The following is a 22,290-nucleotide window of genomic DNA, read 5'->3' on the forward strand; positions in this document are numbered from 1 at the left end:
ATAATTTTTAAAATTGACCCTTTTCCTGAGACAAATTGCCAGAATAGTTTGTATTTAGAGATGGTACCTCTAAGAGTAAGGTTGCTGGTTGCTGAGCAATTGACTTGAAAACTTTTAAAATTCAAATTTTAATTCCACTACTCAAAAGAATTGCCATGTTTTAAAAAAGAGAATTGGTGCCATAAGTTAGTTGTCTATGTTTGAAAATGAAGAAGATATGCAACGTCATGGCCTGGTCACTTACCCGCAGCCCTGAGTTGTAGGCACATCATATGTGAGAATGAGGATGCTTTTCTTTCATTTAAAATCCCTCCCCAAAACTTGGCTCTAATTGCAGTCATGACAATCATGTACATTTGGATTTATGTGCACGAGTCTCTTACCCTGAGAGAGGACAGGTGCTACAGGTGGAGGGGACCCGTCTGGGTCACGTTCACATTTTGAACATGCTGGTTTTCAGTCACTGCACACTCATCTCCCAGCACAGGTCATGGGCAGCAGATGCAAAAGCTGCCCGTGGTCCTATTTGGAGGTGCATGAAATGAGCAGAAGACAGAACAGCTTGATCTGACTAGAAGGGCAGCTTGTCCCTACCAAGACTTGAAGGATTGCCTTTCATCTGTTAGGGTAAAAGGTAGAATGAACCAAGGAAGGGCAGGAGGGGGCTGGGGTTAGGGTAGAAGGAAGGGGCCATGGAGAAGGGAGATCCATCCCATAGGAGGAAGGCAGTGCGGCAGGGAGGTTTGAAGGTATCAGCTTTTGTGGCTGACATACATGCAGTCATGTCAATTGCTCGTTTTTCCTTTTCCATCTTATTAAATGTCTTCCAACGTTAGCACGAAGAAAAGCTATTTGCAGTGTTGCCAGCCTTTCCAGAGCCCGTCCCCATTACCTCCCCAGGCCCATGCCTTTACTCCTTGGAGTTTCAACTCACGACCTTCAGGATCTGACTTTATTCACCAACTCTGGGGTGAACGTACCTTCTGTCTCCACCCAGAGGTCTCTATCAAAGAGGAGATTGCATGCCATGGATAAAGTCAAAGTAGAGGTGACTGTCCTTAGGAAGAGTAATGTGAAAATTCATAAACTGGGATTCTGTTTACATTTTGTACTCCAGGGGTTCTTAGTTTAAATCGCTCTGAATAAATTAAGATGCAATGGCATTTCAACTGTTATGATTAAATTTACAAATCATTTATTTTCTATCACGGGGAGAGATAGAGCTCCAAATGCAAACATAACTGCTCAAGTGTTAACACTTATAATGAAAACATAAGAATTACCACCAACTACCCTGGGGGCTAGAAGCAGAAATGTGAACCAGAAAACAAATCATGAACTTTCCTTTTTTTTTTTGAGATGGAGTCTCGCTCTGTTGCCCAGGCTGGAGTGCAATGGTGCGATCTCGGCTCACTGCAACCACTGCCTCCCGGGTTCAAGCAATTCTCCTGCCTCAGCCTCCTGAGTAGCTGGGACTACAGGCATGCACCACCACGCCTGGGTAATTTTTTGTATTTTTAGTAGAGACAGGGTTTCACCGTATTAGCCAGGATGCTCTCGATCTCCTGACCTCGTGATCTGCCCGCCTCGGCCTCCCACCGAAGTGCTGGGATTACAGGCATGAGCCACTGTGCCCGGCCAACAAATCATGAACTTTCTAACTGCAGTTCCTTGTAGCTTGTTAACACATCCACTTACTTATTGTCAGAGTACGTGGAGATTTTCCACAACCCTCGGGGATAAGGCTGAACAGAAGAGGCAAAAACGTGAAAACATTTCGATAGCTCCTATACTTTGAAATAAAATTCACTGTAAAAGTTGCTTGTATTTTTCCAAAACAGAGTCAACCCTTAATATTTAAGATTCTGTATACAAATACATATTTTTATATAATTAATATATATTGTCATATGACATATATCTTTATATTAATATGCATGCATATAATATATATTTCCTTCCTAATTTTCTATAAGCAATTTTACAAGACTGACTTCTATTTGCCTCCTTATTGTTACTACGTGGTTTGATAATCCGTTTTGTGTCATTGTGATTCTGTCATGTTTTGGGGACTTATTTTTGTTTCTCTGGGTGGTCACTAGTTTTTTTAAAGCATTCATGGAAGAGTGTGAATCTTTTACAAGCTAGGAAGCCATGGCAAGCCTTGGGTCATACTGCCCCCGCGAGGCCACATTGGCAAACCAGCAAGGGTGTTCAACTTCCAGACTTGGCCATGGAGAAGACACACGAGGAGGCTTTTCACATTCAGCTCTTTAATGTTTGTCTCTGCCGGCACCATCCCAGTTGTGAAAAAGAGGTATTTCCACAGCGGCTCAGGGTAGGTAGTGCACAGCTCACATTCATCATTTCTGAAAACCGAGAGGAGTCTCCATTCGGGGTACAGGTTGATGCCTGTCGTGGAATGAAGGTTCCAACACCCAGACCAATCTCTGCAGTGTGCTGCTCTCATGAGCTTGCAACAAGATCAGAAAATGTTTTGTGACTAAGCATTTTTCATATTGCATAAAATGCTTCAAGCTCCTCCCTTGTTTCTCTCTATAATCCTGTATATCTGATGATTGTGGGTACCAAGTGTTTGAAATAATCAAATGTGATTTGATGTTGGTAAATTTCTTTTTTTTTTTTTTTTTACTTCTATTTTTTTTATTATACTTTAAGTTTTAGGGTACATGTGCACATTGTGCAGGTTAGTTACATATGTATACATGTGCCATGCTGGTGCGCTGCACCCACTAACTCGTCATCTAGCATTAGGTATATCTCCCAATGCTATCCCTCCCCCCTCCCCCCACCCCACCACAGTCCCCAAAGTGTGATATTCCCCTTCCTATGTCCATGTGATCTCATTGTTCAATTCCCACCTATGAGTGAGAATATGCGGTGTTTGGTTTTTTGTTCTTGCGATAGTTTACTGAGAATGATGGTTTCCAATTTCATCCATGTCCCTACAAAGGACATGAACATAGCAAAGACTTGGAACCAACCCAAATGTCCAACAATGATAGACTGGATTAAGAAAATGTGGCACATATACACCATGGTAAATTTCTTTATCATTCGCACTCTCCTTTCTCTATTATTGTTATTGTAACTGAACCGCAGATTAGTCACTCATTGCTTGCAGAATCCAATTAACAAGAGCGAGGTCAGATATAAAGAAAATGATTTATTCCAAACCTCCTTCAGGGAAGAGGTGCAGCCTCCTGCCTCTAAATGCACTGCTTCGCCAGGCGTGGTGGCTCACACCTGTAATCCCAGCACTTTGGGAGACCGAGGAGGGCAGATCACTTAAGGTCAGGAGTTCAAGACCGGCCTGGCCAATATAGTGAAACCCCTGCCTCTACTAAAAATACAAAAAATTAGCCAGACGTGGTGGCGGGTGCTTGTAATCCCAGCTACTCGGGAGGCTGAGGCAGGAGAATCGCTTGAACCTGGGAGGTGGAAGTTGCAGTGAGCTGACATCTAGCCACTGCACTCCAGCCTGGGTGACAGAGTGAGACTCTGTCTCAAAATAAATAAATAAATAAATAAATAAATAAATAAATAAATAGTAAATGCACTGCTTTGCTTTTGGAGCAGAAAGCAGGCACTTTGAAAAGGCAGGGGAGGAAGTGAGCAAGGGCAGGGGGTCTGCACACTGGCATGGTGCCTGATCTATCCAGGCAGTTGAATTGGCACTTTCATAGGCAGAAATAAGTTGAAAAAGTGGCCTAAAACTCTCTAGGTGGGAGTGGATAGTGGGCATGCCTTCAACCTGCCTTTCTGGAGGGTGAGTTCCATGGCAACCCCCTGAAGGGTGAGAGTTCCATGGAGATCATGCTTTGGTCTGTAAATCAGCTGTTAACTCTCTAGAAAGTTCTGTCTTGGAGCATATAGTTAGATGAACTTGCCCTGTAAAGAATGTCTGGTGAAGGGGAAGTAAAAGGTGAGATTTGCATTTCTAAAGGGCTAAGTAGAAAGTGGGGTACAAGAGGAAAGGAGAAAAGAGAAAATAATTTAAAAAATAATTGTAACTTATTCCCTTTTACTTAGAAAAAAGGGAATACTCAGTTACATTATCACCTCGTTTACATCAAACCCTCTTATGGAATCCTATGGTTTGAAAACAAAAAGGTTGTTGAGGACCAGTGAGCCCAACCCCTTTGCTTTATAAATGAAGAGCATTGCCTGCCCTAAGCCCCAGAGACTCTGATGTCGTGGGTCTGGAGTGGGCTCCAACAGCGGCATGTTTTGATGGTGCTTCCCAGTGGCACGCCAGCGATGAGCCTTTGAGTAGGGAAAGTAGGAGCACTCGTGACTCCCTTCACGATCAGCACCTGTGTGCTAATAAATTCACAAAAGCCAACATATTGGAGTCACTCAGGGAGTTTTACAAATAGTGAGGTTAAATCCAACCTCAAATAGTTCTGATTCGATCTGCCTGCATTGCTGCCCTGTGGTTCCCCACTGTAGAAGCTCCCCAGGTGATTCTAAGTGTAGCCAAGTCTGAGAAATACTGCCTAAAGCCTGTTGGACTGACAGCAAGGGCTGTTGTCTGAGCAAGACTTTGCCTGGCCTGGGGTGGCATGTGCACCAGGAAGAGTCTCAACTTTCATAACAGAACATTCCCCAAGCTGGTTTTTTTAAAGCATGTGAATCTAGACTTCATTGGCAATACCAAAGATCTGTATTTGAGGCTCCAAGTATTTCACTTTCATTTTTGGTTTTGGGTTATGTTTTCACCCTTCCTTTCCAAGTGAAAAGTAAACAGAAGTGGGATGTCTGGCGCCCATGCTGAGCTTGGCAACTTCAAATTCAATAGAGAAGAAGTCTCTTGTATAGAAAAGGGCCTGTCTGAGATGTTTCTCAAATAAATATAGATTTTGCTTATGTGGCTAAAGGATTCTTCTCCCCCCATTTCCTTATCCCTGCAGTGAGCCATCCTTCTTAACTCTTTCCATGAAAGCATTATTCCTGAAGAACTGGGAACTCATGCCAGCCCTGATCAGGCAATGATAATTCTGCAGAGAATTAGAATTTAGATTTAAATTGTCAACTCTTATACATCCTGGCATATGGTTTAAACACATGTACACACACACAAACACCTCCTACTATTTACTGAAGAGCAGATATCTGATAACTTAATCTTTTTGGTTTTGAGTCAAGACAATTCCTCCTTTTGAAACTGCATACCGCTGAATATAATAAAATGTAATTAAGATTAAAAATAAGAAACTAATGGGAGAATTTCAATATTGTCTATGTTCACTTTAAAATTCCTCTACTTAGGTTTACTGCCATTACCAAAGACTATTCAAAAATCCTTTTTAGGAGAATCCTAATGGTTTCCTGACATATAATCAAATAAGGACTCTGTTGATTGGCTAACTCAATCTTCCTGTGCCAAAAAGCAGAGCCCAGCAGAGAAGAGGGCAGGGACTTGAAAGTCAGACTGACTCGAGTTCCAGCCTTGGGGCTGTGGGAGCTTGGGCAAGTGACTTAACGTCTCTGGCTCTCAGGATCTAAAAGGATTTCCAGTAGTAATTTGGGGTGTTACTGATACAGGAGCTAAAAAGAAATTATTTAGGTGGTTAGTGAGGGTCAGAGAGTCCTCGGTAAGATTTGCCTTTTAACAAAAAGCAGCCCCAAAATCATTTGTTTGCTAACAAAGAGAAGCCTGTAAAATTGAGCTGCAGACATAGATAAGCAAGCTGGAAGCTTGCACGGGTGAATGCCGGCAGCTGTGCCAATAGGAAAAGGCTATCTGGGGGCCAGGCATGTTCAACATGGATTCTCCATCTTCCCTTTTCTTTGTCAACCAAGTGTACAGTAAAGGAACAGGCAACATGGCACGGGCCAGGTAGAGAACCCTTCTGCATAATAAAAGATTAGGGTGAGATGGCCAGCTTCTTCCCGTGCTATGTAAATGGCATACCTGGTCCAACCAGTCTTTTGGGCCCTGTGTAAATCAGACACCGCCTCCTCAAGTTAGTCTATAAAACCCCATGCATTTTACCGTGAAACTGGGAGATCCACTCGGAACCCCCTCCTGCACGAGAGACCTTTTCTCTTTTGCCTATTACACTTCCGCTCTTAAACTCACTGCTCATGTGTTAGCATCCTTGATTTCCTTGGCATGAGGCAACGAACCTTGTGTATTACCCCATACAAATGATGCTGCTTCATTACTAATAGCAACCTGACAGGGTTGTGTTGGGGTATAAATTATCTAGACCAGGGAGATCCAATATAATTTTTTTGTAATGACGGGAATGCTTTGTATCTGCATCATCCAAAATGGTAGCCACCAGGCCAGGGTGAAATGTGGCCAGTGTGACTGAGGAACTGAATGTTTTCCATGATTTAATTTAAATGTGGCCAATGGCTACTGTAGGAGACAGTGTGAGTCTGGCATATTATAAATAATAAATATTAATATAATTTGAACTTTGGCATCAGTGTTTCCTAGATTTGAATTACTATGCAAGTTGCTTACTGTTTCCAAGCCTCAGCTTTCTAATCTGTAATTGGGGCTAATAATAGTATCTGCCTTACAGGTTTGTTCAGAGGATAAATGAGAAATTGCATGTTGAGGGCTTAACACAGTGCCTGGCACATAAAAGCTCTGGTAACAGTTAGCCACTTTAATAATTTGCTAATAATGGCTATTTCTTCTTCAGATTAGGATGTGCTCCCCCAAACAGTGCACTTAGACATAGCGGGCAATCCAGCTCACTCTCTGCAGTGAGAGAGAAGCACTGGCCGACCAGAGTCAGCCAGGGGCTCATGGGTATGAAATCAACAGCATGATTTTGTAAGTAATGGATGGAAAGGGCCTCACAACTTTATGGCACTGTGTTCAATTTGCTTGGTCTTCTGTAGCTCCTTTTGAAAGCCTTTTAGGGTGGATTAACCTGCTACCAATAATTCTGGTCAGATGTAGACTCCATAGCTCAAAGCAAACTGAGAGAGTGAGGGCAGCAGGCCAATTCCCCACCCCTTCCTTCTGGACTCTGACAGAAGCTTACACTCAAGGAAGAGCAAGTAGGAATTAACGTGTTAAGAGCTAGGTAAGCAAAACCCAATGAGAAGTTCTGGCAAAGCCCCATGGGCAGGGGTGGCTTAGGCACAGGAAACAAGTAGGATTTCATACCACGCGCCTCAGTCTACTTCCGGGGCCCTCATCCTCAGCTGTGCCTATGCAAAGGAGAGCAACCAATAAACCCCACCGCCACTCTCCTACTGTGGAGGCCAGGGATGGCCAGGGGTAAGAGAGGGATGGGAAGTGTTTCCTCCAGCCGTCCTCTGAGAAGGAGAGGAAACTGGGCAGAGCTTCTGTCCTCCTTCAAGCAGAAACAGAAACAAAAGAAACCCCTAAGGGGGTTCTTACTTCCCCTCTAGTTCAGTTGTGCACTAACCATCTGCAGCTCAACATTCAGCATTCATTCATTGATTCAGCAAACATTGAAGGAGGGCCAGCTATGTGCCAGATGCCAACTCATGCCATGAAAGAGAGTCCCTGTCCTTATGAAATTCACTATTTAGAGAGAAAAGCAAGCAAAAAGGCAAAGTTTGAAAAGTACTGTTGAAGTGGCATCATTGTCTGGGGTGAATACCTGAGGTTTGTGGTCTCACGCCAAGGGAATCAAGGACTCAGGCACACAAGAAGTGAGTTTAAGAGCAGAGGTTTAATAGGCAAAAGAAAGAGAAAAAAGAATAGCTCTCTTGCCTGCACAGAGAGAGGGGCACCTGAGTGGATCTTCCTGTTTTGTGGTGAAATGCAAGGCATTTTATAGACGAGCTTGAGGAAGTGGTGTCTGATTTACTTAGGACCCGAGAGATTGGTCAGACCAGGTGTGATGTTTACATAGCATACAAAGAAGCTGGCCATCCCATCCTAATCTTTTATTACGCAGACGGGGTCTATACCTGGCTGGTGCCATGTTGTCTGTTCCTTACTGTACACGTGGTTGACAAAGAAAAGGGAAGATGAAGAATCCATGTTGAACATGCCTGGCCCCCAGATAGTCTTTTCCTATTGGCACAGCTGCCGGCATTCACTCTTGCAAGCTTCCAGATTGCTTATCTATGTCTGCAGCCCAATTTTACAGGTTGCTCTTTGCTAGAAAAGAAATGATTTGGGGGCTGCTTTTCATTAAAAGGAAAACCTTACCAAGGTTAAAAAGAAAAAAATTTCTTTTTAATGCCTATGTTACTGTGAACAGTGTCGGGATAAGGCTCTGAGAGCCAGATGAGGATGAGTTATCCAATCCAAGGATGGGGGTCTGGAGGAAAAAATCCTAGAGAGCATTGCTGCAGTTGAATAAGGATTAGTTAGAAGCTACTGAGTGGAGCATAGGAGTAGGAACTCTTATGCAAATGTGCAGAGGTGAAATAAAGCAAGGTATAGTCCAGGTGCCTAAAGTAGCACAGCTGACTTGAGATAGATGATAGATAGGTAGATAGATGGATAGGGTACATAGATGATAGATAGATAGATAGATAGATAGATAGATAGATAGATAGATAGATAGATAGATAGACAGACAGACAGACACTGGTGTGAGTGTGGGTGTGTGTGTCTGGCTGCGTGCATGCATTCCTCCTGCAGGAGATCAGGAGCAGTGGGCAGTATGGAGTGACAAGAAGATTGGGAGGTACTCCTTCTAGCCCTCCCCTCTGCTCTGCCCTCCACTGGAGCAGAAGCAAAGCATATGGTGAAGGGGAACAAGGAGTCTCCCCAGCACAGTACCCGAGTGCATTAGCTATTTATCACTCCACAGTCCCCATTCACGTGTTAATTCAGCATTTATTGAATGCTTACTGTTTGCAATGTCTATGTCAAGCTGTCAAGTGTAGTTTTTATTCTACAGGCCACAGGCACCCCCTAACTGTGTTAAACAAGATGGTAGTATTGAGACAGGAATAATAAGGGTGGTCACAGGAGAATGGAAGATTCCAGGCAGCAGTTTGACTAGTAAAAAAGGAAACTGTTGAAATAGCTGCATAATCCAGGGGTCAATAAGAACCTGAGAACCAGGGTGTGAGCCAAGGCTGGTTAAAAGCAACTGGATCCAATATGGTGCTGAGTTTCTCCTAGGTTTTGCCTGGAACCTCATTATATGCTCAATAACATACCAAATCACACACCCACCAGGGCCATTCCATTTCCTGGAACACTCATGTTTGGTGTAAAAATGGGTGGCACCACAGCTCTGAGAAATCTTTACCTTTTTCAGGAAACTTCATGAATATTCCATCCTTTGGTTAAAGAAACCCATAATGTAGAAGCCCCAAACCCTACTGGGCGCAACTCTCTCTCTCTTGAGTATGCCTGCACTTCCCTTTATTATTTATTTATTTATTTATTATTTATTTATTTATTTTTTAGATGGAGTCTGGTTCTGTCACCCAGGCTGGAGTGCAGTGGCGCAGTCTCAGCTCACTGCAAGCTCTGCCTCCAGGGTTCAGGCCATTCTCCTGCCTCAGCCTCCTGAGCAGCAGGGACTACAGGCGCCCACCACAACGCCTAGCTAATTTTTTGTATTTTCAGTAGAGATGGGGTTTCACCATATTTTATTTTATTTTTGAGACAGGGTCTCACTTTGTTGGCTCGCTGCAACCTCTGCCTCCCAGGCTCAAGCAATCCTCCAACCTCAGCCCCCCAAGTAGCTGGGAGGACAGACGTGCACCACCACACCTGGCTAATATTTTGTATTTTTTTTTGTAGAGACAGGGTCTTGCCATGTTCCCCAGGCTGGTCTTGAACTCCTGGACTCAGGTGATCAGCCTGCCTCCACCTTCCAAAGTGCTAGGATTACAGGAATGAGCCACCCCACCCGACCACACTCCCATTTCTTGAGTGTGTGCATTTTGCTCTGCAATAAATCTCTCTACTTTCACTTTTCTCTGACTCGTCCTTGAATTCCTTCTTGTGACAGCGTCAACAGCCTGGACACCAGGTGCAGTCAACGTCTCACCAGTGTTTAGGGACCTCCCCTAATCCACTGGTATCAGCATGATCAGACTTGCTTTTTCAGAAAAAGCCTTCTGTCCATAGACCAAAGGGAAGTGACTCAGAGAAGGGGCAGGAGGAATCACAAGCTCCCTGCCTGACCAGGCCTGGACTATGGCAGAGACAGTGAGATGGTGAGAAAGCAAGGGTAGACAGCCAGCCAAATCCAGAATATAGAAAGTTCTACAGGAAAAGGTGGGGCCAAGGTGGGACAGGGGGAAAGGAATTGTTGCACATTAACAGTGCAATGCAGAGCACTGGTCTTGTTTATGTCCAGGTTAGAACAAACCAATGAGAAAGCACATCTTTGAGAAAACTGGAGAAATTTGAACACTGACTAGATATAATATTATGTTAATTATGCTTTAATTTGGGGTACAATAATGCTTTTGTAGCTATTTCTAAAGAGTCCTTATCTCTTAAGGATACACTCTAAAATACTAGTGGATTAAGTTATATGATGTTTAGACTCTTTTTAAAATAATCCAGTGGGGTGAGAGGCAGAGGGAAGGGAGAGGAGCATAGAGGAAACAGTGTTGGTCATATGTTTGTAATTGTTAAAACTGAGTGATGGGAATATGGAGATTTAACATATTAATACTATTTTCTGCCCATGTAATATTTGAATATTTTCATAATAAAATTGAGAGAGAGATAAAGAAAGAAAAGAGAAAAGAAGAGAAGAGAGAAGAGATAAGGGAAGTGGAGGAAAAAGAGCTTTCTTCAAGGACCATTGTGGTGGACACAAATGAAAGATACCCCCTTCCTACTATGAATTCTAAGTGTGTACTACCCAAGATGAGTCAATCGGATCCTAGCTTCCAGAAATCGTGAGCATGATGCAGCCCTACAGACGCAGTGCCCTGGAAAGGAGACCCATGACCATCCAAGGAAGATGTCCCATCACAGAACTGCCCTGGGTCATGTGTTTTCCAAGTCCACATGTCCGGTAGTTCCTTCTTTCCTATGACCAATGCCACCAGTCTTCCAGCACTGTCCTTTATTGCTAGGCAAACCTGAGCCATCCTCTTCTTCTTGCAACTTGTGCCTGAAGTAACATGGACACAAAGTCCCCACTTTTCCCACATTCTCAGAATGAAGTAGTTCTCCCTCCACACTTTAGGTGCTAGAGGCAAGTGGATTGCTTGAGCTCAAGAGTTCAAGACCAGCCTGAGCAACATGGCAAAACCCCGTCTCTACAAAAAATACAAAAATTAACTGGGGGTGGTGGTGTGCACCTGCAGTCCCAGCTACTCAGGAGGCAGAGAAGGAGGATTTCTTGAGCCCTGAAGGTGGTTGTGTTACGTGCATTCATGTTAAGAGACCACCAAACAGGCTTTGTGTGAGCAATTAAGCTTTTTAATCATGTGGGTGCAGGCAGACTGAGTCTGAAAAAAGAGTCAGCAAAGGGAGATAGGGATGGGGCGGTTTTATAGGATTTGTGTAGGTAGTGGAAAATTACAGTTAAAGGGGGTTGTCCTCTTGCGGGTACAGGCGGGGGTCACAAGGTGCTCAGTGGGGAGCTCCTGAGATTTATTGTCCAGGAGAAGGAATGTCACAAGGTCAACTGATCAGTTAGGGTGGGGCAGGAACAAATTACAATGGTGGAATGTCATCAGTTAAGGCAGGAACTGGGTATTTTCACTTCTTTGTGGTTCTTCAGTTGCTTCAGGCCATCTGGATGTATAAGCGCAGGTCACAGGGGATATGATGGCTTAGCTCGGGCTCAGAGGCCTGACATTCCTGTCTTCTTATATTAATAAGAAAAACAAAACAAAATAGTGATGAAATGTTGGGGCAGCGAAAATTTTTGGGGGTGGTATGGAGAGATAATGGGTGATGTTTCTCAGGGCTGCTTCAAGCAGGATTAGGGGTGACACAGGAACCTAGAGAGTGGGAGAGATTAAACTGAAGAAAGATTTTGTGGTAAGGGGTGATATTGTGGGGTTGTTAGAAAGAGCAATTCTCATATAGAATGATTGGTAATGGCCTGGATGCAGTTTTGTATGAATTGAGAAACTAAACGGAAGACACAAGGTCTGAATAAGAGAAGGAGAAAAACAGGCATTAAAGGACTAAGAACTGGGAGGACCCAGGACATCCAATTAGAGAGTGCCCAAGGGGGTTCAGCATAATTATTTGCTTGGTTGGTGAGTTTTTGGTCTCCATCCTTGAGTTTTTTTTATGTTGTCATATGCCAGGCCAGATTGATTTAGGTAAAAACAACACTCTTCATTTAAAAATATACAGAGTTCTCCTTTCTCAGCAGTGAGTAAGTCAAGGCCTCAGCAGTTTTGGAGGAAAGAGAAATGCAAAGGAAGCAATTGTTTGTTAAGAAGGATTAGAAATGGCTAGGAGAGAGTGAGTGAGATTGATAGTGTGGTGGAGATAGCTGAGGAGAGGTAGAGGGTGGCATAAGAATGGGAACGAGAATAAGAGTGAGTATAAAAGTAAAGAATAGAACTTCATCAGGGTGAAAGTATTGGAGGGTGCCCTGTCAGCAAAGATCATCTGTCCACTCCAAGAGGGAGTCAAGAGTGGCGGATTGGGGATAGTACCAGGAGATATCCACTATGATGGTTTGGAGGAAAAGTGTAAACTGGCAGTGTAAACAGGGGCAGGGCATTTATGAGTCATTGAGAATGGTGAATAGGAGTATGACTAGACAGAAGATAGTGGAGATGACAAATTTTGGGGGCACAGTCCAAATAGTGGGGGTGACTGCGTAGAGCTCTGTTGCAAAAAGTAGGGTAAGGATAAATAGACTTAATAGAATGAAGAGATGTATTAGGCTCATAAGGGTTATTATTGTTCTTCAGAAATGCGAGTGAGTTTAAGGGAAGTAGGGGTGAGTACTTGCGACTTCCAGAAGGAAGAGGAGAGATCAGGCTGGCTGTCTGATGGGCACAGCTTTATTCTGGAACAGTGAATCCAATGGGGAGGGTCGTGCAGACGGATGGCAGTTGGGGTGCTATAAATGACCAGGTAGGGTCCAGTCCATCAAAGCTGTAGAGTGTGAGGGGTCAGACTTGACAAGGACTGATTGCCCAGCTAAGGTATCTTCACATGGCTGGGAGTTTGGAGGAGGCAAGAGAAGATTAGCAGCCTGGCGAATTTCCTGTCTAGCCTGCTGGAGGACTGGAAGATAAAGGCAACAGGTCGTGGGCCTGGATCCTGTGTGAGGACTCTAGCAGCACAGCCTTGTATTTCAGCTGTGTGTAAGGAAAAAGGATGGGACGAGTCGGGGAGTGCTAGTGTGGGAGCTGTCTCCAGGTCCTTTTTGAGAGAGTGAAAGGAAGAATGGGGAAAAGACTTATGGTCTATGGGATTAGTTAAATTACCCTTTGTGAGCTAGTAAAGTGGTTTGATTAGGATAGCAAAGCCCGGTATCCAAAGTTGGAAATATCCAACAATGCCTAAGAAGGAAGGGAGTTGTTGTTTGGTGGTGGGGGTTGGGGTCTGGGAGATTAACTGAACAGAGTCTGCAGGAAGGGTATGTGTATGTTGATGGAGCATTATACCAAGATAGGTAATGCTAGGGGAAGAAATTTGTGCCTCAGAGGGCAATACTTTGTACCCCTTTGAGTAAAGATGTTGAAGAAGCAGGCTAGTGTCCTGCTGGGAAGATTGGTAAGAGGGGCTGCAAAGAAGAAGATCATCAACATATTGAATAAGGTGGGAGGTAGATGGGTGAAAAGAAAGCAGATCATGAGAAAGGGCCTGGCCAAAGTAATGTGGGCTGTCCCTGAAGCCTTGGGGTAGAAAAATCCAGGTGAGTTGTTGGGACTGGTGGGTGTCAGAGTCAGTCCAAGTAAGGCAAAAAGAGGCTGGGAGGAGGGATGCAAGGGGATAGTAAAGAAGGCATCTTTGAGGTCGATAACAGAATAGAGTTGTGGAAGGGTGTATTGAAGATAGGAGGGTGTACGGGTTTGGCACTATAGGATGGATGGGAAGGACGATTTGATCAACAAGACGAAGATCCTGAACAAACCTGTAAGACTTGTCCGGTTTCTGGACGGGTAGGATAGGGGAGTTGTAAGGAGAATTTGTAGGCTTTAAGAGGCCATGTTGAAACAGGCAGGTGATAACAGGCTTTAACCCTTTTAAAGCCTGCTGTGGGATGGGATATTGGCATTGAGCGGGGTAAGGGTGATTACATTTTAATGGGATGATAAGGGGTGCATGATCGGTTGCCAAGGTAGGAGTAGAGGTATCTTATACTTGTGGATTAAGGTGGGGAGATACAAGGGGAGGATGTGAAACAGGTCTTGAGTTGGGTAAAAGTGCAGCAAAGAGATGTGGCTGCAGCCCAGGAATACTCAGGGAAGCAGATAATTTGGTTAAAATGTCTCAGCCTATTAAGGAAGCTGGACAGGTGGGGATAACTAAAAAAGTGCATAAAAGAATGTTGTCCAAGTTGGCACCAGAGTGGGGGAGTTTTAAGCGGTTTAGAAGCCTCGCCGACAATACCCACAACAGTTATGGAGGCAAGGGAAACAGGCCCTTGAAAAGAAAGTAATGTGGAGTGGGTAGCCTCCGTATTGATTAAGAAGGGGACAGACTTACCCTCCACTGTAAGAGTTACCCAAAGCATCTGTGATGGTCCAGGAGGCTTCTGAGGTGATCAGGCAGTGTCAGTCTTCAGCTGCTAAGCTGAGAAGATCTGGGAAGGAGTCAGTCAGAGAGCCTTGGGCCAGAGTTCCAGGGGCTCTGGGAGTGGTTGCCAGGCAAGTTGAACAGTCTGATTTCCAGTGGGGTCTCGCACAGATGGGACATTCCTTGGCCCAGTGGCCAGATTTCCGGCACTTGAAGGAAGATCCTGGGGGAGGAGGTCCTGGAGAAATGCCTGGCCCCTGCAGTTTAGGTGTTTTGAAGTTCTTGTGTGCTGGAGATGTGGCTGGGGTTTCTCTTACAGCGGAGGCAAGTAATTGCAACTCAGAAATATGTTGTCACTTGGCTGCCTCTTTTCTATTATTGTACACCTTAAGGCGAGGGTAATTAAATCCTGTTGTGGGGTTTGAGGGCTGGAATCTAATTTTTGGAGCTTTTTCTAATGTCAGGAGCAGATTGGGTAATAAAATGCATATTGAGAATAAGACGGCCTTCTGGCACCTCTGGGTCTAGAGAGGTAAAGTGTCTAAGGGTTGTTGCCAAACAGGCCATGGACTCAGCTGGGTTTTCATATTTGATGAAAAAGAGCCTAAACGCTAACTGATTTGGGAGAGGTCAGCTAAAGAAAAAGGAGCATTAACCTTGACTATGCCTTTAGCTCTAGCCACCTCTCTAAGAGGAAATTGTTGGGCCGGTGGGGGAGGGCTAGTTGTGGAACGAAACTGTAAGCCAGACCAGGTGTGAGGAGAGAAGGTGACCAAAGGTTTATAGGGTAGGGGAGCAGAGGCTGGGGAAGAATTGGGACCTGGCTAGGCCTAGCGAGGAACAGCCTGGGGAGGAGGGGAGAAATCAGATGGGTCCGTAGAAAAGGAGGATTCAAAGGACTCAGAGCTTGGGGTGGAGACTGAAGGAACAGACAGGAGAGAAAGAGGAAAGATTTGGGATGAGTCACATTGGGAGCAGAGACTAGAGAGGGACTGATGTGTAAAGAATGCCTGGACGTCAGGCACCTCAGACCATTTGCCCATTTTACGACAAAAATTATCTAGATCTTGTAGGATGGATAAATCGAAAGTGTCATTCTCTGGCCACTTGGAACTATTGTCAAGTTTGTATTGGGGCCAAGCAGTATTACAGAAGAAAATAAGATGTTTAGGTTTTTAAAAGAGTGCATAAAAGAATGTTGTCCAAGTCCATGCCCTTCTTAATCAATATGGGAGCTACCCACTCCACATTACCTTCTTTTCAAGGGCCTGTTTCCCTTGCCTCCATAACTGTTGTGGGTATTGATGGCCAGGCTTATAAGCCCCTTAAAATTACCCCACTCTGGTGCCAACTTGGAGAGGTCAGGTGTTAGTCAAAGGTGTTTTAAGTTTTAAGAACACAGGCTAAGGGAGAAGAAGGGGGAATGAAGCGTGGAAGGTTGCCCATAGTGAAAGAGGTAAGTTTAAAGAGAAAGGTAGAGACATGGAGAAGGGGGGAGGTGAGCAGCCCTGGGCTGTCATGTGGGTTAGCAGCCAAAGCTGGTGTCCCAGCAATTGACTTACCACCAAGGGAATGTGGGTGAATGACCAAGGCAGGCATCCCCCCGGTGATCAGACACCAAATGGAATGTGGGTGAAAGATCAAGGTAGGTGTCCCCATGATGATCAGACACCAAAGGAAGGCTGTCTTCCCAAATCCATGATCCATGTTGGAGTTTTTGAGTTCATGGATAAAATGTGTCTCCTTTGTCTCTACTAGAGAGGAAAAAGAACTGGAATTTGAAGGACAGGGAGATTGAAGGGTAGGGAGAGAGGCTGAAGAAGAGAGTGAGGAGACCGCTTACCCGGTTTGAAATTGGTGAGATGTTCCTTGGGCTGGTCTGAGGACCTGAGGTCGTAGGTGGATCTTCTCATGGAGTGAGGGTGAGGAGAGGGGACCAATCTCCCGAAGGAGTCACCCTGTCCGGGGTCTTCGGCACCAAATGTTATGCGCATCCATATGAAGAGACCACCAAACAGGCTTTGTGTGAGCAATAAAGCTTTTTAATCATGTAGGTGCAGGCAGACTGAGTCTGAAAAAGGAGTCAGCAATGGGAGTTAGGGTTGGGGTGGTTCTATAGGATTTGGGTAGGTAATGGAAAATTACAGTTAAAGGGGGTTGTCCTCTTGCAGGCAAGGGCAGGGGTCACAAGGTGCTCGGTGGGGAGTTCCTGAGACTCACTGTCCAGAAGGAATGTCACAAGGTCAATTGATCAGTTGGGGTGGGGCAGGAACAAATTACAATGGTGGAATGTCATCAGTTAAGGCAGGAGCGGCCTATTTTCACTTCTTTTGTGGTTCTTCAGTTGCTTCAGGCAATCTGGATGTATATGTGCAGGTCACAGAGGATATGATGGCTTAGCTTGGACTCAGAGGCCTGACAGGTTGCTGCAGTGAGCCAAGATCACACTACTGCACTCCTGCCTGGGCAACAGAGCCACAAAAAAAAAAGAAAAGAAAAGAAAAGAAAAAAAAAGAAGAAGAAAAAAAAATTTTTTTTCCACCAAGAATTTAGTAAAAAATTATAGGGAAAAGTGTCACTAATTCAAGGGAATTGCACTGAAAATTATTCATTCATTCAACAGATATTTATTGAGAAGCAAGTATGCTGGTGCTAGGGTTACAACAGCGCACAAATTCTTGTATTCAAGGAATGAGGTAAGAGTATGCAGATAGGAGCCAGAGAGGTCAAGAGGCAATTGCAACATAGAGTGACACGTGCTCCAGAACACATAGGAGGGCTTCCAGGCCCCATGCTGGGCTATCAGAGCTGGCTTCCTGCAGGTGGTGTGGCTCAGCTAAAACCTGAGAACCAAGAATGAGCCTTCTGATATCTCAGGGTTAAATCGGCACAAATGAAACCATTTTATAACCAAACAACATTTTCCCTCCTGAACTGCACTTTTTCTAGAACCCATTTAATCCTTCCTAACATGTTCAATCCAGCCCCGTGATTTTTCAGTCAAATGCAAGATGCGTAGGATTCCTTTTCTGTTCAGTGCTCCCCAGCCAATCTTTTTCCCTTCTCCCACCCCACAGTTACTAATTCCAGCGTTTCAGTTCTCAGCAGAGGATGACAGTTCCACCAGGAGACATCAGTGTTATCTGGAGACATTTTAGTTGTCCCAGCTGAGGGCACAGTGCTGCTGGCATCTAGTGGGTGAAGGTCAGGAATGCACCTCAACATCCTGGAACACTCAGGACAATCCCCAGCAACAAAAACCTACCCATCCAGAACATCAACAGGGCTGTGGCTGAGGAGCCCTGCTCTAGTGCTTCCTCCTTACTGTATCCTCATCAAGGAGGGCTCTGGGGCATGTCAGGGGCTGCTACAGGCTCCTGGCAGATTTCGGCGACTTACTCCAGACTTGTGGAACATTCAGGATTCTTAGCATGGCCACAGGAGAGTCAGGCTGTCCACAAGCACTCTCTCTTTCTTCACCCACTCATTCCTGTCACTCTACCATTTCCACTGCCTTCCCAAATGCCCATCGTGAGTCCCACCAGGGGCCAGAACACCACTCTCTCAAGCCTCCCCAGTGGCGCGTGCACACCTGGAGAACATGTCTCACATCCCCCAGCCAGCGAGACGTCCTGAGATTCCAGCACTTCTCAGTGTCTTTCCCAGCTTGTTTGTATCTGGAATGGGGTGGGGTCTCTCACACAGGAGAAATTACAAGGAAAAGTGTACGTGACAGGAATGGAGGAATTTCTGTGGAAACGGTGTGTGAGAAAATGTAGGAAGAAAGAAACTTCAGGAAATGGTAAGTGGCATCTTGAGAGCAGAAAGTGAGAAGGGAGCAGAAAGAAATGGGGCTGGAACCTGGGAAGGAGAGGACAGGTGGGGATGGCCTTGCACACCGTGGGCACTGAGGAGTGTGGGCCCATGGCATGGGTGGAGAGGAGTTTCAAGATAGGGAGTAGATTCCTATTTTGAACTTCGGATTGCCCCTGGCGATGTGGAGACTGTATTGGAAGAAGGCAAGAATGGAGGAGAGCCCCTAGGTGGAGGTTTGGCAATGCTCTCTCCAGAATATAGCAGAGGCCTCTTCCAAGGTAGGAAAGCCCTGACTGGAGAGAAGTTAATGGCTCTGAGGGCTCAAGGGAGGACTTGGATTATCAGGACTTTTAGGGAGGCATATGATCAAGGCTTGGGTCTTGGCCCATTGAAATGGGGAGCACTGGTTTTAGGATGTGGGTCAATTAGTTTGGTTTTCAGGACAGGCTGAGTTGGATATCCTGGGGGACCTCCAGGTGGCAGTGTCAGGGGAAGCTGGATGTGCTGACACTGAACTCAGCAGAGTGACTGAGTAGAGATCGACATCTGGGGTCACAGGCAGTGGATGCCGTAGGGGTGGACTCAATAGCTCAAGCAGAACCCGGAGGAATGCAGGCAGCAAAGGGAGCCCTAAAGAACAGTGAGGAGATGTGCCAAGAAAGAGCCAAATCCGGGGGATTGGCTGTGGGAGAGAGGGCTGTGGGAGTAAGAGGAAGTGTCAGCAACGTCAAATGTTGCAGAGACATAGAGTAAGGTAAGAGTGGAAAAAACATCCATGGAACCCTGTGATGCAATCGGAATGCAGAAAGACTTTGTAACTCCTGCCTGGTCTCCTCCTCTGCCCACTCATGGCAAAGGAATACAAAGTAATGTTCCCTCCTTCCGCCTAGAAAAGCACAACTTCTGCCCCCAAGCCCTGGGCTCTCCTGAGAGGACAGGACCAGCCTCTGAAGTTGAAGGTCCTGGTTCTGCCCCCAAGCCCTGGGCTCTCCTGAGAGGACAGGACCAGCCTCTGAAGTTGAAGGTCCTGGTTTACCAGATAGGGAAGGGGCCCTTTCCAAGACCCTTTCCAGAAGGTGTGGCTGAGATGGGAACCGTGGACTCTGTGCAGATGTAGGAGCTGGCTCCAGTCAAGTGCTAGGAGGTTGTGGGTCCTGGGAAGGAAGAGGCTCTGGAGCCTCTGTGGAGACTCTGGGACTGTCCTTGGGGGAGACGTGAGCAGGAAGAAGCAGGGCCTTCACAGTCCCCAGCTTAGGGGCCTCACCACCCAGACTGAAGACCAGGACCAAACCCTTTCCTGCACAGTTACAATGTGTCATTTAATTTTACTAAAGGGAATATTTTTTAAATGAGGATGCTACTTTGTGTATTAATTTTTACCTCTATTCATAAAAGAAACGTTTCTTATCTATTTAAGATGATTCATATCAGACCAGTGTCTGCCCAACTCGACTGACCCTGTGAAAACTGGGCACTTCACACTCCAATGATGATGGATGAGTCCCCAGCAGCATAGTTTAAGGGAGTGAGTGGGCAGTGTGGCCTCCTGTGCACGTGACTTCCTCCTTCAGTGTGCCCACATGTGGGTTCCACGGTCTTGTGACATTGTGGCTTTAGAAATTTCTGTTTCCATTTTCTATCATTCAGAGTAAATGAAATTTGCAGGAAATTCAGAACCTTCCACCTGTACAGTGGATACTGTGAGACTCTGCCCAGATGCCCTTTTCAAGCCAATGCATCTCTCCATGCTCCCACTCCCATAGATGGGAACAGAGGTGCTGGAACTCAGATCTACTCCCCTTTCTGGGAACTGGAGCTGCCTGCCCAGGCAATGCCCCCTTCCCAGGGATGGCTGAGCCAATGACTGGCTAATGTTGGATTGCAGAGGCCTAGCGCCCTCCCCTCAATTCCTAATTCCTTGTAGGAATAACTGAGGCCTCCTCTGTGACCACGTGGGCAGCTTCTCCCTCTGCCTGGTCCTGTCTTGTTCTCTCCTTTCCAATTGTGTCTCCTGGAAGCCCTCCCCACAAGTCTGCTGCATACAACTCTCCTTCTCAGAGAGCCTGAGCCCTGGATTCCCAGGAATCCAGCCTAAAATAGTCTGGCATTTGGTTTCAATTTTCTCTTTCACTAAGACTCAGTCACAGGTGCTAATAAATAATAAAATGTCACCACCTTGAATTCTATCACTCTCTCTTTTCTTGCCCCATCTCTGACAAGTAGGTGGTCCCTCAAGAACCTGAAAAGCAGACATTAGGAGGAAAGGAGGAGTGGGGGCAAGAGGCCCACACCTCACCTGGCCGGCTCCCATCCATGCGCCCTTGACTGAGGTAACACCTACCCTGGGAATCCTTCCCCTGCCTCTCGTGAGCCAGGCCGGGTGCTCTTGGGACAGCTCCCACTGCTCCTGTGTGCTCCCCCAGCTTGGCACATGACTCCCTGAATTATAGTCAGTTCCGTACCTGAATCTCCCTCTAGAATGCCAGTGCCACGAGGACAGAGGACGGTTCCACTTTGTTCACTATTTTCTCCCCAGGGTCTGGCAAAGTTCCTGGGACTTGGGAGAGGTGTCCTTCAGGAGCTTGGCAGAAGCCAAACGGCACACTTAAGTAGGGCAACTGAGGTGAGTTTAATGAAGGATTCTATACAAAAATTTGGACAAGGTATAGGGAGGCCACAATACACAGTGCAGTGCCTGGTGCCAGTGAGAGCAGGGCACTATTCCCACTGCAAGGCCAGACAGGGCAAGGGGAGGGAGCTGCCTGACAAGAGCTGCCCTTACGTCAAGGGACACATCAGCCCACTAGACCCCATCAGGAGGGAGCCAGGGCCTGACTCCCCTGACCTTGCTCTCCAATCTTCTGCCTAAAATTCCCCATCAGCCAAACACAACTGAAAACTGAAAGACAGGGGAGCCTGCTGTTAATAAGGTGAGCATCCCCCAGAATAAAGCTGGGTAGAGAGTGGAGAATGGATATGGAAGGGCAAAAGGAAGATTTATAAGACAGTGGGCACTAAATATCTATGAGATGAATAAAGGAACCACATTTTACAACAAACGGTCATTGAAACGCTACTCAATGGAAAGAGATCATTTCGGTCACTGTCTGGTGCAGACAAATCAAAGCCCACATGCATCAAAAAGGCCATGTCCGTGTAACTCCGACACGGGGCAGACAGCAAGGCTGAAGCCTATGGGGTATGTGGAGCCGGAACTGAGAGATCCTGATGTAAATCTAGCACTTGGGAAAAGGGGGACTAGAAGAAATTCACCCACAGGCAGAGGAAAACACAAACACTTATCTATTTTTGCCTAGGCTTTAAGTGGTATGGGAAAAATCTCTGAGACTACAAATCCTGTGCTTCATGCACAGGTTTATAATACCCTCAAAATGGAAGACCCCAAAACCCAGGCGCGGAAAATTCATATCAGGCCATTGATGCCCTCAATGTTCCCGGCTGAAACAAACTCAAAACTCCTCTGGAAAGGAGTGCTCCCACTTCAAGCCATGAAAAGCTACTGCAGAGAAAATAATCCCCAGTCAAGACACACTCACATTGAAACTGCAAGGCACACAAGGAAATGGATCACCTTGAGTGATAGCTGGCAGAGCTAATAAACCTCTGTATACCTCTAAGAAGCTCCACGCACTAGTATAACCCTTAAAGATTTGATGAAATCATTACTTTATTAAAATTGTTTTTATAAAAAATCAAAATCCAAAAAAAGCAACAAATTTTATACCAGAGCCAATTCGGTATATACAAGGGTGTCTTACTCTTTTGGAATTTGTCTTATTGTCCTAACTCAGCACATTGTCCTGGTCTATGAAAAGTCCTAGAAACCCTTCTACCCTCTG

The 22,290-nt window shown here is 45.6% G+C and overlaps 1 long non-coding RNA gene across 4 annotated transcripts in view, besides 4 other annotated features; it reads right to left on the bottom strand.

Annotated features, from left to right (window-relative positions):
• The window catches only part of CCR5AS (CCR5 antisense RNA), a 43,083-nt gene that overhangs the window by 12,384 nt on the left and 8,409 nt on the right, over positions 1–22,290 (bottom strand). Inside the window, exons 2-3 of one of the 4 annotated variants that reach the window (NR_185893.1) lie at positions 16,458–16,685; positions 11,356–11,765 (exon numbers count right to left, since the gene is read on the bottom strand). The exons of 1 other annotated variant lie outside the window; for it this stretch is intronic. This is a non-coding gene — a long non-coding RNA (CCR5 antisense RNA). Of the gene's footprint in view, positions 1–11,355; positions 11,769–16,457; positions 16,686–22,290 lie in introns of those variants that run through there. 2 more of the 4 variants (NR_185892.1, NR_125406.2) reach the window with 2 other exon arrangements.
• Positions 2,139–2,248: a silencer, noted in NCBI's record as "silent region_14288". NCBI's record gives its function as "represses an Ori minimal core promoter by ATAC-STARR-seq in GM12878 lymphoblastoid cells {active_cell/tissue: GM12878}" and the evidence as "EXISTENCE:reporter gene assay evidence [ECO:0000049][PMID:35858748]".
• Positions 3,860–4,361: an enhancer, noted in NCBI's record as "NANOG hESC enhancer chr3:46421718-46422219 (GRCh37/hg19 assembly coordinates)". NCBI's record gives its function as "activates a minimal SCP1, AML or CMV promoter by ChIP-STARR-seq in primed H9 embryonic stem cells {active_cell/tissue: H9 hESC(primed)}" and the evidence as "EXISTENCE:reporter gene assay evidence [ECO:0000049][PMID:30033119]".
• Positions 16,495–16,994: an enhancer, noted in NCBI's record as "H3K27ac hESC enhancer chr3:46434353-46434852 (GRCh37/hg19 assembly coordinates)". NCBI's record gives its function as "activates a minimal SCP1, AML or CMV promoter by ChIP-STARR-seq in primed H9 embryonic stem cells {active_cell/tissue: H9 hESC(primed)}" and the evidence as "EXISTENCE:reporter gene assay evidence [ECO:0000049][PMID:30033119]".
• Positions 17,317–17,366: a silencer, noted in NCBI's record as "silent region_14289". NCBI's record gives its function as "represses an Ori minimal core promoter by ATAC-STARR-seq in GM12878 lymphoblastoid cells {active_cell/tissue: GM12878}" and the evidence as "EXISTENCE:reporter gene assay evidence [ECO:0000049][PMID:35858748]".

The sequence above is a fragment of the Homo sapiens genome, chromosome 3, assembly GCF_000001405.40.
Source record: "Homo sapiens chromosome 3, GRCh38.p14 Primary Assembly".
In the NCBI taxonomy this organism is placed as follows: Eukaryota; Metazoa; Chordata; class Mammalia; order Primates; family Hominidae; genus Homo; species Homo sapiens.